This window comes from Homo sapiens, chromosome 21, assembly GCF_000001405.40.
Source record: "Homo sapiens chromosome 21, GRCh38.p14 Primary Assembly".
NCBI lineage: Eukaryota > Metazoa > Chordata > Mammalia > Primates > Hominidae > Homo > Homo sapiens.
In genome coordinates, this window is record NC_000021.9 from 42,732,671 (window position 1) to 42,746,726 (window position 14,056).

Consider the following 14,056-nt stretch of genomic DNA (forward strand, 5'->3'; position numbering starts at 1 on the left):
TTGGGAGGCGGAGGCGGGCAGATCACCTGAGGTCGGGAGTTCAAGACCAGCCTGACCAACATGGAGAAACCCCGTCTCTACGAAAAATACAAAATTAGCCGGGCGTGGTGGCACATGCCTGTAATCCCAGCTACCCGGGAGGCTGAGGCAGGAGAATCACTTGAACCCGGGAGGTGGAGGTTGCCGTGAGCCGAGATCACGCCACTGCACTCCAGCCTGGGCAAGAGTGACACTCTGTCTCAAAAAACAAAACAAAACAAAAAAACCTTTGAATTGTTTAACTGACTGGGTTGGAGCCTCCAGAGAGCACAACAGGTCCTCCGAAGGTGTCTGTGCCCATCAGGGGAAGGTGCGGGGACTGGACCATCTCAACTGCATGAGCAGAGAGAGGGCCATGTGTCCACCCCAGAGAGCTTGGGTCCACTGCTCAGGCCCGAAGAAGTAAATATGCCCAACCAGCCCAGAAAATACACCTCATGATACTTTGGTGATTCTTTCCTCCCCATGGGACATGATGATTTCTGAAAAGCAAGTCCTAGCATGTTGGCACCTCAGACCCTCACCAGCCCACCTAGAGGCCTTGCCCATGCCCACAGCAGGGACTCAGTAGGTGTTTGCTTAACCGGTTTTGGCTCTGAGAATTTTAAGGGTCATATTTACTCTCTCTTTTCTTTTTCATTCCTAGAGCATTCAAAATCAATGAACTGAAAGCTGAAGTTGCAAATCACTTGGCTGTCCTAGAGAAACGCGTGGAATGTGAGTGACGTTTCTGTTTCCTTTTTGCTTCTCTGTCCTTTAACCTCTATTCAAATTAACCACTTGGAACGGGGAGGAGTTCAGTGCCGAAGGTAAATACAAATAAATGTCTTTTCTTTGTGAAATACTTGAAAATTACCTTTGATGTTAACAAAGGCTAGCACAGTGACTAACTAAGCATTTTATTTCTATTTTAAAAGAAGCACAGCTCATGGTATAAAGCATTCTTTCAGCCCCAAAGAATAAAAATGAACACACGAAGCCTTCCGCACTTAGCCCCTCTGAGAACCTCTGCTGAGTGTCTTGTCTGTGTCTTTTTGTGTGTAAATGAAGACATTCTCTGCACACTGATCGGCACCCTGTGGGTCATAATTTTTTGGAATATGTCTACTAAGTTGTTATCTCTTGGTTTCTGATACAGTCTGGATGTCCCCTCCACATCTCACGTTGAAATGTCATTCGCAATGTTGGAGGTGGGGCTGGTGGGAGGTGTTTGGGTCACCAGGCAGATGCCTCCTAAATGGCTTGGTGCTCTCCTTGAGATAGTGAGTTCTCGCAAGATCTGGTTGTTTAAAAGCACGTGGCATCTCTCTACCCTCCTGCTTCTCCGTTGCCTTCCACCATGATTGGAGGCTTCTCGAGGCCTCCCCAAGAGCCAAGCAGATGCCGGCACCAGGCTTCCTGTAAAGCCCACAGAACTGGGAGCCAATCAAACCTCTTTTGCTTATAAATTGCCCAGCCTCAGGTATCTCTTTATAGCAACAGAAGAACAGCCTACTACAGCCTCCAATCACCACCAAAGGAAAAGCAGAAAAAGGACTAGGGAGCCAAGGAGTGTCGATTCAAGTCCTGATTCAATGATCACAAAGCTCAAATTCTGGGAAGAAAACAGCTTCAAGTCACCCACCCTTTTTGTCCTCATCCATAATATCAAGATCAATGCTTGAATTCCATAGGCCTCACAATTCTGTGTTCCACTCACAGCTTGACAAGTGAACTCTTTGTCAATGACAAGGCAAAGGTTAATGATTAACAGGCACTGTATTTACCAACTTAGGAACTAAATAAACAGAATCCAGACAGGATACCATTAAGAGTTGCAGCATCACCAAAAATATCTGGCTGATTGACTGAATGTCGTCGCTTTTCTTTTTCTTTTTTTGAGAGACAGAGTCTTGCTCTGTTGTCCAGGCTGGAGTGCAATAGCACAATCTTGGCTCAATGCAACCTTCGCCTCCTGGGTTCAAGTGATTCTCCTGAAACATGATTTACATAGTCAGATTTATACTTTTCAAAGTGTGTTGACATTTCTAAAAATGTATGTGGTCACTGGATCTTCAAGACAGTTTCATTTTCCCCATTGTCAACGAGGAAGCCACAGAGAGGTTAGGTAACCTCAAGTTCACTCAGCAAATTAGAAAAATAAATAAAGCTGGGACTGGCACCCAGGGTCCTGGCCGGGCTGCTGTCACGGCCTGCTACCTGCCCTTCTGGAACGAGTCACTTCCCTGCACACCTGGCTGAAGAGGACCAGGCACTCCATGAGGATTCCTTGATAACGCAGGTTAGAAAGCTAAAGCTGCAAGCAACAGAAACTGATCGTGGCTGCTTTCAACAGAAAAGGAGTTTTTCCCTAAAGGATTTTGGGAAGCTTCCCCAGATCCCCAGGAAGGCTTGGGAACAGGGCTCAGAGGTTGTGCAGCAGCAACAATTCCCCAAATCCCGTGCAGAGCTGATGCTGTGCGGATGCCTGTGCTGCCGTCTCTGAGCCCCAGATGCGGCACCAGCTCCCCTGTACTCCTCACTCTGGACCTAGGTCCCCCGGAGGCTCCACAACCACTTATGCAGATATCAGGCTGCTTCTCCATGTCACTGGCTACAGGTTCAAAATCTAGACAGAGCCAGGCCGCGCACCCAAGGTCTAGCTGCAAGGCAGGCCCCACGAAGGGAGGCTGTGAGTATCCTGAAGCTGCCTCACAAAGCACCACAGACTGGGAGGCTTAAGCATCAAAAACTGACTCTTTCACAGCTCTGCAGGCCAGAAGTCAGAAATCAAGGCATGAGCATGACTGGCTATTTCTGGAGGCTCTGAGGGGCCCTGGTTCCATGCCTGTCTCCTAGAACCTTGTGGTTCCCAGCAATCCTTACCGTTCCTGAGCTTGGAAGGCTACATTGCTATAATCTCTGCCTGTGTCTACACGTGATGACATTCTCCCAGGATGTCTCCATGTCAACAGTCTCTCTCAGCTAGGTCTTATAAAGATGCCTCTCTTTGAATTTAGGGCCCAACCTAAATCCAGGATGGGCCCATCTCCAGATCCCTAATGGATTATATCTGCCAAGGACCTTTTTCTACATAAGGTCCCATTCACAAGTTCCAGGGAGTAGGTTGTGAACAGATCTTTCTGGAGGACACAATTCAACCCACCACAGCGAGTGTTTGCATTTCCATATTCTGCACTGGGAGGCTGGCTCAGCTCTCCACCAAGCCCCATGTCGCAGGGAATTCTCCAAACTTGGGTAGGGGTTTGAGCCAAAGCATGCAAAAAAGGCTTGCTGCAGAGTCCCCACCCCTCTTTACGGACACAAAAAGCCACGCAGTCACTACGGGGCGAGTGTGCAGATGCCCGCGGGCAGCAGGTGCCTCCCACCTCTCCTCCTCTCTCCAGCACCTGGGTTTTTCCTCAGCCTTCCCCATCTCCTACGCCCCACCTGGAAGCCAGTGCCAGCTCCCCCCATGCTCTTCCCGGAAAGTGCAAACAGGCAAGTTGAAGAGGCCATGTCGTAACTCTCAAAACTCTTACAGAGAATTATGTCGCCCACAACAAGATGAATAGTAACCCTGTGTGTCTTTGAATAACTGACCCTGGAAAATAACCATCAAGCCAGAAGAAAAGTGTTCCTATTTTACCTGCAAGTGGCAGGTGAGTCGAAGACCACTGAAGGAAATGGCCCATAGGACCTTCCCCCCTAGCCTGTTCTGGCTGCGGAATTCTCCAAAATTTCTCACTTCTCAGAGGGAAGCATCTTCCCATAAAACCCTCAGTAAATGCACATAGATGGCCTGGAAAAGGACACCGCTCTTGACCCACCGAGCTCAGGCTCACTGCACTGACCAAAATTCCTGGCGCTTCTATGGGTAAAACCGGTTGTGACTAGTTGTACTGATTTCTAGCACCAGAGACCTAGGACTGCAGAAATGGGATTGAGGGAGCTCACCTCTCTAAGGAGTAGAGAAGGAGGAACAGTCTAGGAGTTGTGGAGGGTAAGGGAGGGGCTTGGGTGAGGTCAGGGGGGACTCTCCTCAGTCCTCCTGGCTGCCCTCCTCCCCTGGCATGCAACTCACACCCCCACCCCAGGAGGCAGCCATGTCCAGACAGGCTGTCCTCCTCCTGAACTCCACCTGGCTTTGGGCTCATCCTCCCCGGGCACTTCTGGCTGATGGCTCCCCACTCTCCAGCGGATGTGCTTTAGCGGGAGGTGGCCAGGATGCTGCACCTGTGCTGAGCCCCAGAGATTCTGAGTTCCAGAGACACTACAAGGGCAGCAGAGCCTTAACCCAAAGATGCAAGAGCCCAGACATTTTAGGAAGCTTGGAGGGCAGAAACGGAAAGTCCTTTTGAGGAGAGGGCCTGCAGCTGAACCTCTCACGCAGGCCACTGGGTAGGTGCGCGCCCAGCTTCTCAGAAGGTCAGTCCCAACCCTGCACGGCTGCCAGAAGCTAGCCAGATGGGGAAGGCGGCCAGGAGCCTGGTCCGACACCCCGATGCACAGGGCCTGGGCCAGAGGCAGATGCTCCCATCTACATATGCACACACACATATAAACACAAACAGAGAAAGGTGCACATGCACTCACATATACACATGTGAAATCACACAGGCATGTCAGGATGTCACATATACATGCACACGTGTAAGCACCCAGGCACGTGCAGATACATTCATATATATGATCACATACCCACACATGCGCACACACAGCTGCTTCTGCTATACATGAGCTGCTGTGAGCTGTTTTGTTTTGTCTTGTCTTGTTTTTGTTGTTGTTTGAGACGGAGTTTTGCTCTTTGGCCCAGGCTAGAGAGAAGTGGCGTGATCTTGGCTCACTGCAACCTCTGCCCCCCGAAGACAGGACACTTCTGTCTCAGCCTCCCAAGTAGCTGGGATTATAGCTGCCCGCCACCATGTCCGGCTAATTTTTGTATTTTTAGTAGAGATGGGGTTCCGCCATGTTGGCCAGGCTGGTCTCGAACTCCTGACCTCAGGTGATCGACCCGCCTCGGCCTCCCAAAGTGCTGAGATTACAGGCGTGAGCCATTGTGCCCGGCCAAGCTGTTTTCTGCCTCTTGAGTTAAAGGATTCATCCACTAGAACTGGCCACCTTAAGGCCATATTATATTGTGGTGGACTTGTCTTAAATGGAATTTCCTGCTTCTTCTTAAATGTATAATTCCTCTGAATTGAATATAAATTTCTTCATTTCTCCTCATTGACTTTCAAAGCTCTTCTTCCTTTTGATATACAAAGTTTAGCCTTGTTCGAGAGATCTGGGATTTCCCTTACGTTACGGATTATTTTGTAAACAGAACACCCAGGCTCCTCCCCTCATGTCCTGGCTGGAGGTGAAACATTAAAAAGAGATTTTAAAGCAGGGCCCTTTACTCCCTTCCTTCCTGGTTTGTGGCCAGGGCACAGGGCAGCTCTGCTCCATCCACCCTTTGTCCCTGTGCTCTGGGCTTGGACCAAAACCTAAACACAGCGTGGGCCGTGGCAGGAGCTGACCGGCTGGGGCAAAGTTTAACACAGGCCATACAAACAGCCCAGAGCCTGGATGCTAGAACCAAGCCTTGCTTTTCTCTGTCACTCCGGAAGTGTGCTCTACGCGGGCTCTTTAGTGAGGCTCCTGGAGGAAGTGTTGAAACACAACTCTATTCATACATGTCTTTAAACAGCTTTCACTAGCTCTGTAGCCAAAGGACTGGGCCTGCCAGGTTCCCGGCCTCTTGCTGGAGCACAGTGAGGCTGGGGAAGGAGCACAGCACAGAGCCTCCTGAGCCTCGGCTCAGCTCTCCCCGACCCCCAGCTCGGCTCTCCCCACCCTCCGGCTCGGCTCTCTCTGACCCCCAGCTCAGCTCTTCCCCACCTGCCAGGACGATTTCCCCAAAGCCAGCGTCTGTCAGAAAATCACCCTTAGTTTTTCCTGCAGGTGGCCTGTGACTTGTAGAAGCTCACAAAAATCTCTTTCAAAGCCCTTTTTTGTTGCTGTTTTGTTTTGTTTTGAGACAGAGTCTCACTTTAATGCAGTGGAGTGCAGTGGTGTGATCTTGGCCCACTGCAACCTCCACCTCCCGGGTTCAAGTGATTCTCCCGCCTCAGCCCCCAGAGTAGCTGGAATTACAGGCAGCCTGTGACCACGCCTGGCTAATTTTTGTATTTTTAGTGGAGACGGGGTTTCATTATGTTGGCTGGACAAGCTGGTCTCAAACTCCTGACCTCAGGTGATCCACCTGCCTTGGCCTCCCAAAGTGCTGGGATTATAGGCATGAGCCACTGCGCCCGGCCTACAGTCCTTTTAAGAGGACAGCCCGGGGTTTCCAGATAATACTAGCCCCACACACAGGCATGTCCTAGGGTCCACACCTGGTCAGCGGGAATAACAGGCAGCCGTGGGCTGGGCTCCCAGCCCCCTAGCAGGGTCCAGTGGGCCAGGGAGCCTCTGCTTTGGTTTGTGGTGCGTGGTCTGTGCCCGCCTGTGTTCAGCGTTTGAAGGCAGAGGAGCGGGCCATGATGGGCAGAGCCGACGTCCAGGCTCCACGGTAGGGCCGTCCTGCTGCTGTCTGCAGACCTCTCAGGCTTGAGGCCCCCCGCCCCACAGGACTGGCCCGCTCCTCCCTCTGGATTGAGGTGGAGCAGGGCTGGCAGTGGGTCGAAGAGGGGAGCTGTGGAATCTTCCCCAAAGCAGCCGGGTGTCCTGGAAAGGCCAGGGAGTGAGGAGGCAGGACCCCCGGGGACACAGGCACACACATCCACCACATGCTCACCTCTGCCTCCTCCTGCAGACCTCCCCGCCAGCCCCGTCATTTCATGGCATCTTGCTTTCTCTTCATTGAGGAATGCACTTTTGCAATGTTGTTACTCACTATCCATCTACTTGGCCAACAGCCTCTTCATAAACTTAATTGCCACAAATTCTGCATCTCTGGGATGCAAACTAGTGAAGCTGTGCTGTGTCACCCAGGAGGCTTAATTTTAACATCACCTCAATAGGTAGCCAGGGAAGCGGATCTCGGTGGACTCTGCACTGTCAATACAAACGCTATGCACCCATCAAAAACCATGAGCTGGCTTAAAACAGAGCCTTGTATGGACATGGGAAAAAAATTATAGGTTTGTTGCAAACTCATTTAGCAGCAAAAATGTGATCTGAACTGACATGAAGCCCTTGGTATTTATTTATCCTGCTCAGTATGATAAATAGCATTTTCCTCGGGGGATAAAAAGAAAAACGTGAGCTGCGACAGCAGCCACTAACATGGGGAAGGGCCGTGACCTCCTGATGAGTGAAAATAGCAAGTTAGAAAACAACAAATTTTATCTTTTAAAATTAATAATAGATATATAGATACATAGACACACACAGGATGGATAGAAGCTAGATAGATACATACATACATAGATACATACATAGATAGATACTATATAGATATGTAAATAGAAAGATAGGTAGAGGCTGGGTGCAGTGGCTCATGCCTAAAGTGGTTCCCCAGCACTTTGGGAGGTGAAGGCAGGAGGATTGCTTTAGCCCAGGAGTTCAAGACCATCCTGGGCAACATGGCAAAACCCCATCTCTACAAAAAATACAAAAATTAGCCAGGTGTGGCGGTGCACCCCTTTAGACCCTGTTATTCAGGAGGCTGAAGTGGCAGGATCACTTGAACCTAGGAGGTAAAGGTTGCAGTGAGCTGTGATTGTTCCACTGCACTCCAGCCTGGGTGACAGGGCAAGCCCCTGTCTCAAAAAAAAAAAAAGAAAAGAAAAGAAAGATAGGTAGATACATAGAATGGGTGGATAGAGAGATAGAACGGATAGAAAAATAGGATGGATAAATAGAACATAGGTAGATACATAAATATGATGAATGCATAGATGGATGGGTGGATGGATGGATGGATGGATGGATGGATGGATGGATGGATGAATGGATACATAGATGAATGGATGGATAGATAGTATATAAATGGATGGATGGATAGATACACAGTAGGTAGGTAGGTAGTAGATAGATAGATAGATAGATAGATAGATAGATAGATAGATAGATAAACAGGATAGATAGATAGATAGATAGATAGATAGATAGATAGATAGATAAACAGGATGAATATTTAGAAGGCTGGGAGTGGGCAGAAAGCCTGGAAGGACACACATTAATACAAATAATATTAACTGAGTTGTTTTCTGGGCCCATAGGATCCTAGACAAGTTTTTAAATATTATTCTTTGAAGTGCTATTTCCTACACTTCCTACAATGATAATAGGATATTTTATATTCAGAAAAATGACATTTAAGACATAGTCAATGGTCCATGGACCTTGGACAGAGGGCCCAGCTGCCCTGTTTGCAGTCTACACCGCATGCCCAACCCTTCCCCAGATCTACTCACTTTCAGAATGTGCTGCCTTCCACGTGTGAACCAGACTGAGCTCCTTTCTGCCACTGATGTTGAATTGTCCATTTGCTCACGTCAGTGTCCACGTGGCAAATCCACAGGGCATGGGTGGGATCCTGCAGTCTAGACAAAGCCAAGGAGCACCGCTGGAGGCCACGTTGGGCTTCCCAATCCACATGCAAACCCAAAATGTGTTCTTGGGTACCTTTTCTGAGAAGACAGCCTGTGGCATGCATCAGCTTCCTTGAGGGGCCCATGATGCTGGAGAAAACGGAGACCCGGCTCCAAAGGAGAATGTGGACTCTTAGTGGTTGGACAAAGACGTCCCGACCTCAGACCTCAGGTACCCTGTGTTTCCCCAGCGGCAGCTCATCTGGACTCGGCCATCACGACAGCGACCACACTGGCTCCAGCCACATGCACTTCCGGACCCCATGTCCTCTAGCTGTTGGGTAGAAGAGGGGTGGAGAAGGTTTCTGTAGCACAGAAACACATCAGCAGGACCAGATCCAAATATTGCACTCTCCAGATTCTTCGTCCTTCTGGCAGAAAGAAGCAGTGTCCCGGGAACATGCCCCTACTTGACCCCTGACCCTGGAAACGCCTCGAAACCCACCCGGGAGGCTGATTCCAGCTAGTCTGCCCTGGGCCACTGTACTGGGAGAGTTTCTTTCCGGAGCTGCAGTACTTCCTTTGGGGTGGGAAGGAGTTGTTACAAACTAGCCAAAGGCTCTGAGTTGCTTGGTTTTTCCTTTAGAAAACATTTGCTTTTTATTTTTAGCAGTTATTCAGAGCCAAACTTCATGAAAAGGGGAATAGAGTGGTATCGTGGGAGTATCCTTTTGCATAAAAACTAAGGTGTGATTACAAAGTAACAAAGCTAATCTTTTTTATTTCAATTGGTTTATGAACCAACTCTAATTGAAAAGCCGTGCAAAGCTGCTTGCTTCATGGCAGCTTTTCTGGGGTAAACGTGCAGTCAGCCAAGGGTAAATATCTTGAAGTTTAACGCTCGCTCGGAGGCATAAGCTCCAGTTTGTTTTTGGTTGAAAAATAGTATCCTAACTGTTGAGGTACACCTTTGCAGTGGGACTCTGTAACTGCCCAAGGGGTTCACCCTGCCTGCTACCTAAACAGAGCTCATTCATCAAGACAGGGGAACTGCAATGGAGAAAGAGCCATTCACCCAGTGCCGGCTGTGCGGGAGACCAGAGTTTTATTATTCCTCAAATCAGTCTCCCCGAGCATTCGGGGCGCAGAGTTTTTAAGGATAACTTAGTGGGTGGTGGGAAGCCAGTGAGCCAGGAATGCTGATTGATTGGTCAGGGAGGAAATCATAGGGAGTTGAAGCTGTCTGCTTTTTTTTTTTTTTTTTTTTTTTTTTGAGACAGAGTCTCACTCTGTCCCCCAGGCCAGAGTACAGTGGCGTGATCTCGGCTCACTGCAACCTCCGCCTCCCGGGTTCAAGCTATTCTCCTGCCTCAGCCTCCCGAGTAGCTGGGACTACAGGCACTGGCACACCATGCCCGGCTAATTTTTGTATTTTTAGTAGAGACAGGGTTTCACTATATTGGCCAGGCTGGTCTTGAACTCCTGACCTCGTGATCTGCCCACCTCAGCCTCCCAAAGTGCTGGGATTACAGGCGTGAGCCACTGTGCCTGGCTGCAGCTGTCTTCTTGCACTGAGTCAGTTCCTGACTGGGGCCAGAAGACCAGACGAGCCAGTTTATCTATCTGGGTGGTGCCAGCTGATCCATCAACTGCAGGGTCTCCAAAATATCTCAAGCGCTGATCTTAGGAGCAATTTAGGGAGGGTCAGAATCTCGTAGTCTCCAGCTGCGTGACTCTTAAACTGTAATTTCTAATCCTGTGGCTGTTAGTCTCGTCCCCAGGCAAGAAGCAGGTCTGCTTTGGGAAAGGGCTGTTACAGTCTTTGTCTAAACTATAAACTACAAATGAAGTTTCTCCCAAAGTTAGTTCAGCCAAGGAATGAACACAGACAGCTTGGAGGTTCGAAGCAAGATGGAGCCCGCTAAGTTAGATCTCTTTCACTGTCTCAGTCATAATTTGGCCAAGGCAGTTTCAACTCCAGGAATGTGATCAAGTCCAAGTTCTGCTGATCCTCAACTTTGCCTATTTATTTCTCTTCTGTTTTAAGTCAACACTTTCTCCTGGTGAAACTGCTCTGGAAGGACGTTCCAATGAAAAGCTTTTCCCATAATGAGATCGTAATCCTTGCTGAAAACGCTTTGCCGTTCACTGCATTTTAATGCTCTGGCACCACATGTGCCCCCTTTTCTTTTTGGGATAAAAGACGCCTTTGTCCCATGTCCTCAGCTGGTGCTTAGGGGTATGGAGCAAAAAGTGGGTGCCAGAGTTGAGATTCAGGGAGTGGAGAGTGGGGAGGAGCTTCTGCCTTCTGAAAACTGCCCGGATGGATGCGGTAGTGCAGCGGTGGCCACGGCACATGCCTGCGAGGATAGAGTCAGTTGTGGCTGAGCTAAGCGCGGAAGTGCAGGCAAAACCTGAGTATCGGCAGCCAGGGCAGGTGTGGGGACCTCTGCACTGAGGTATATTCCTCCCTGGGAGCCACAGGGAGCCCTTAGTTACCAGCCTTGAGAGATCCTCCACATTCGTCCGTGGTAACCCCCTTGCTGTCTCTCTCTCTGTCACCAGTGGAAGGACTAAAAGTGGTGGAGATTGAGAAATGCAAGAGTGACATTAAGAAGATGAGGGAGGAGCTGGCGGCCAGAAGCAGCAGGTAGGGTCTGCGCTGGGGCCACGGGCGGCCGGGCCTGGGGAGGGCTCCCCGTACCAGTTGGGCTGGGGCTGTGGGCTTTGTTTGCCTAAAAGAAAGGCTGGTGCAGTTCGGTACAGTTCAGGCTTGGGAGAGTGCAGTCTGGAGGCAGCCACCCTGCTTGCGACCTGCTTGTCAGTGGTGTGACTTTCTTCTAACAAAAGAGCACGCATGGGCCGGGTGTGGTGGCTCACGCCTGTAATCCCAGCACTTTGGGAGGCCGAGGTGGGAGGATCACCTGAGGACAGGAGTTCAATACCGGCTTGGCCAACATGGTGAAACCCCGTCTCTACTAAAAATACAAACGGTAGCCAGGCATGGTGGCACATGCCTGTAACCCCAGCTACTTGGGAAGCTGAGGCGGGAGAATCGCTTGAACCCAGGAGGTGGAGGTTGCAGTGAGCCGAGATCGCGCCACTGCACTCCAGCCTGGGCTCGACAGAGCAAGACTCTGTCTCAAGAAAAAAAGAGCACATATTGGAGATAGGGGCTGGGAAGACGATTTCACAGAAGAAGAGTCCTCCTCCTGCAGATCCAAGCCTTAGGAGCAATGTGTCCAGCTTGGAATAAGTTGATATCCACTTTTAAAGACAGAACAAGAAGAGGAAAAGCATTAGGGGAGGAGCCTCCTGTTGCCCCCAGGGACCCGGTTCCTTGTGTGATGTTCCCACTGGGTTGCATTCCAGCGAGGGCTTCAGCACTGGGGACACAGAAGTCATTCTCCTGGGAACAGGCATCCTTCACAGGCGCTTCGGGGGGCCCAGTGAGCTGTGACTCGTGGGGAAAATGCCCCAGTCTCCACGATGCCACCTCCAAAGTCAGTTTTGTGTACAGCAGGACTCTTTACTGGAGCCAGGGTCAGGACACGTGTGGATGAACCACGACCAAACTGGGGATGGAAATGCCGGTAGTAGCAAAGAGACGGCGGTGATGATGAGCAGAGCGCATGCATTGAGGCACTTACTGTGTGCGGGCGCTGTGCTTAGTGAGGGGCACACAGGACCTGCTCACACCTCCGGGCTTTGCCTCCATGCCCGCTGGTGCCAGCCCAGACACCACAGGCATATGATGTGGCTCATGGTTCCCCAGAGTGCCACTGCCCGGCCTCAGTGGGATTTAATGGGGACTAATGGACTGAGAAACAGCCCTGTGCAATTGCACTGAGTTGTCTCAGAGCCACCTGGCATGCTGACGATCATTCCCTGATTTTGAAATTGAGGGCAATCTGCTTATTGAGGAAGCGTGGCAAGTGAAAGGGTCTCAGAGGCAGAAGGTGAAGGGAAAGCCGACGGGCCTCATCTGGTCCCCTCAAAGCCCCGGGGGCCTGGCCTCGGGGTGGGCGCAGGGAGGAAGGCCGAGCGGAAGGAAGCAGGCCTTGTCTGAGCCACGTGAGAGCCTGTCCTACAGGGACCGTGCCACGTGTCTGTCCCATGCACTCATGGGCTCATTTGGAGTTAGGGATGTCTCAGCCCAATTGACTTAGGGGAAGTCAGGCCATAGTTTGTGGCCATGGAAAGTTGTGAGTGAACAATCCATCTTCGTCATCCCTGTGCTGGAGGCTCTTTAAAGGACGGGAGACAGAGTCTCTCATTTGTGAGCCAAGGAAGAGCTCCCAAGTTGCACAGGGACGGCCACACAGCTGGGGTCCCAAGGCTGGGACCTGGCAAGGCTGGGACCCGGCTTGGCAGCCTCAGACACACAGCACCTTCACCTGTGGCACCGCCCTTGGCCGTGGGCTCTACGTGGCTTGGTTCAGCCCTCTGGCTGTCCCTTGCGCCCCAGGTGCCATGGCTGCTTTGGCAGGAGGGTGGTGTTCCAGGGTGGTGCTGCCTGGCAGGGTTCCCCTCTGCCCAGAGCCAGGCGGAGATGGGTGGCCTCAAGCTGGGGCTGCGGGTGTAGCAGGGCCAGCCTTTCCAGCCCCACCAGCAGCACGAGGGGAAGAGGACAAAAACTGAGTTCTAGTCTTCAGCCTGAAACCAGACTCCCTGAACAGCGGCCTCTGGGCCCCATATGGGTTGGGGAACTCCACCGCCCCAAGGGGTGTGTCTGGAGCCAGGCCATGCCTCCCGAAGCTGCCCCCAGCTCCTCACCCACAACTGTGTGTCCCTGAGCACTTTCTGGAGGTGTTTGTAGGATGCAGCCTCTTATCCCTTAAACGACTGCATTTACCGCCCACCTACAGCAGCAGGAGTGAGTGGTGAGACAGCCTCCGGCCTCACAGGTCTTGCCTCTGCCGTGCCTGATGGGCACCCGCTCTGTAGAAAGCAAGGCGAGTGCTCGGATCACACGCCGCTCCTGGCGTGGTTTCTGGTGTGCACTAGTCCTGCAGGTCAGGTTGAGGTTGCAGGGGGGAAGATTATTTTTATCGAAGTTGTAGTCATTTCCTGGGGCTGCGTAACGAATTCTCATAAACTGGGCAGCTTAAAACAATAGAAATGTATTCCCACATAGTTCTGGAGGCCACAAGTCCAAAATCAAGGTGCCAGCAGGCCCTGCCACCTCTGAAGGCCCCAGGGGAGGGACCTTCCCGGTCTCTCTTGGCCTCTGGTGGCTGCCGGCGGCATTCTCTGCCTGCTTCTTCACCTGGTGCTCCCATCCGTTCTGTCCAAATTCCCCCTTTTTGTAAGGACACCCATCCTATTGGAGTAGGGGTCACCCTCCTCCAGGATGACATCCCCTTAACTACATCTGCAACAGTCATGTCCCCAAATGAGGTCACCCTCAGAGGCAGCAGGGTTAGGACTTCAACATACAACTTTTGGGGGGAGATGTACTTCAGCCCATAACACACCACGTGGGAGGATAACACCGATTTCAGAGCTTGCAGAGG

The 14,056-nt window shown here is 51.1% G+C and overlaps 1 protein-coding gene and 1 long non-coding RNA gene across 25 annotated transcripts in view, besides 1 other annotated feature; one reads left to right on the forward strand and one right to left on the reverse strand.

Annotated features, from left to right (window-relative positions):
- PDE9A (phosphodiesterase 9A) overlaps positions 1-14,056 on the forward strand; it is a 121,889-nt gene that overhangs the window by 79,050 nt on the left and 28,783 nt on the right. For 22 of the 24 annotated variants that reach the window (NM_001315533.2, NM_001001570.2, NM_002606.3 and 19 more), the window contains 2 exons: positions 686-756; positions 11,106-11,190. In NM_001315533.2, coding sequence (NP_001302462.1) covers positions 686-756; positions 11,106-11,190 — 156 coding nt within the window. The remainder of the gene's footprint in view (positions 1-685; positions 757-11,105; positions 11,191-14,056) is intronic. The other 2 variants (NM_001001576.2, NM_001001580.2) reach the window with 1 other exon arrangement.
- PDE9A-AS1 (PDE9A antisense RNA 1) lies at positions 923-9,087 on the reverse strand. The gene is made up of 2 exons (NR_183525.1): positions 8,424-9,087; positions 923-2,012 (listed from the first exon to the last, which is right to left on the reverse strand). It is a non-coding gene; the product is annotated as a PDE9A antisense RNA 1 (long non-coding RNA).
- Positions 6,161-7,161: an enhancer, noted in NCBI's record as "H3K4me1 hESC enhancer chr21:44158941-44159941 (GRCh37/hg19 assembly coordinates)". NCBI's record gives its function as "activates a minimal SCP1, AML or CMV promoter by ChIP-STARR-seq in naive H9 embryonic stem cells {active_cell/tissue: H9 hESC(naive)}" and the evidence as "EXISTENCE:reporter gene assay evidence [ECO:0000049][PMID:30033119]".